Source organism: Homo sapiens, chromosome 14, assembly GCF_000001405.40.
Source record: "Homo sapiens chromosome 14, GRCh38.p14 Primary Assembly".
In the NCBI taxonomy this organism is placed as follows: Eukaryota; Metazoa; Chordata; class Mammalia; order Primates; family Hominidae; genus Homo; species Homo sapiens.
Window position 1 is genome coordinate 18410131 of NC_000014.9, and position 1663 is coordinate 18411793.

Consider the following 1663-nt stretch of genomic DNA (forward strand, 5'->3'; position numbering starts at 1 on the left):
GACATATCTGTACCACCATATTTGTTGCAGCATTATTCACAATTGCCAAGATATAAAAAACCTAAATGTTTGTGGATGCTGAATAAAGAAAAGCTGGCATAAATAAACAATAGAATATTATTTAGCCTGAAAAATAACAAAATCTTGCCATTTCAACAACGTGGGTAGAACTGGAATACATTATGCCAAGGGAAATAAGCCAGACACAGCAAGAGAAATACTACACCTTCTCACTTATATGGGGAATCTAAGAAAGCTGAACTCACAGAAGCAGAGACTGCAATGGAAGTTGTCAGGGACTAGATATGGGAGAAAATGAAAAGATATTGAAAAGACACAAATTTTCTGTTATGAGTAAGTTTTTTGAATGTAACATATAGCTTCATGATACAGTTAACACTAATTTTTTGTATGCTTAAAATTTGGTGTCAGCAGATCTTAGATGTTTTCATTACAATAAAGGTACCTATGTGAGGAAAGGTGATAGAAATGTTCATAAACAAGTTGTGCTAATCATTTACAATCTACACATGCAGTAAGTCATTACATTGTACACCATAAATATATAATTATAAAATTTTTATTTGTAAAAAAATCCACAATACACACCTACATATATATACACACATATAAATTACAGTTCTGGTAAACTTTATCCTAAACAAGATAAAATTATAAAATAGTAATTTAAAAAACAAGGGAAGAAGTGGGAGCTTAACATATGCTCAGTAATGTTCTAAGTTCCCTGACATAGTGAATTGAAGAAATGTAGGAAATATATATGTTATATTACAGTTGAGAAATTAAGACAGAATTGAAATTACCAACCTCAGTTAGTACTAAAAGAATAAAAATTTCAATTCAAATAACATTAGATATTCTTAAAGAGATCCTTAATATTCTGATTAAATTACCGAGTATGAATTTCTGTAGAAACTCATTTGAAACCTCCATAAAATAAGAAACTATAAAGCAGAAAACATACAACATATGTTTGCTGTATTTCTGGGATTTCTGAACCAAATCTCAATATCACTACTTTTACATATTTCAGACACAATGCAGAAAGAGAACTTAAAAATTGTTAAACACAGGGTTTCTAAAAAGTATACAGCTATTTGTATATCCCCAAAAGCAATAAAAGTAGTCAGATTGTGCACTCCTTTATAAGCCATAAAGAGAATTTTGGCTCTCACTGCAAATCTGAAGAAAAATTATGGAAGAAAATGTAGAGTCATTAGAGAGCATGGGACAGAGGATGCCCCAATGTGAGAACAAGTGAAAAAACCCAGGCTTTTCAGAAACGATTTCCACTGGAGCACAGCTTCCCACATCACATGTAAAAGTCCGGGTTCCTCTCGGTCTTTGGATGTCTCATCTATGTCATCCTCTTCTTCATTCGCTTTCACCTACCTGGGTGCTTCATACTCCATGGCTTTTTCCTTTGCTCCAGACAGGTGACCAGGTCTGGCTTAGAGAAGACAATACCTGTTTTATTTTAAAAAGCAGCATGAGCATGAATTTTCCTGGGATTCTCCATTTACCAACCTAATACTGTGCTAAGCAGAGAAAAGAGGACATAATAGAGGATTCTAGAAAATTAATTCCAAAATACTTTTTACTGACAGAACCTTTAGCATATTCAGAAAGTACATTAAATATC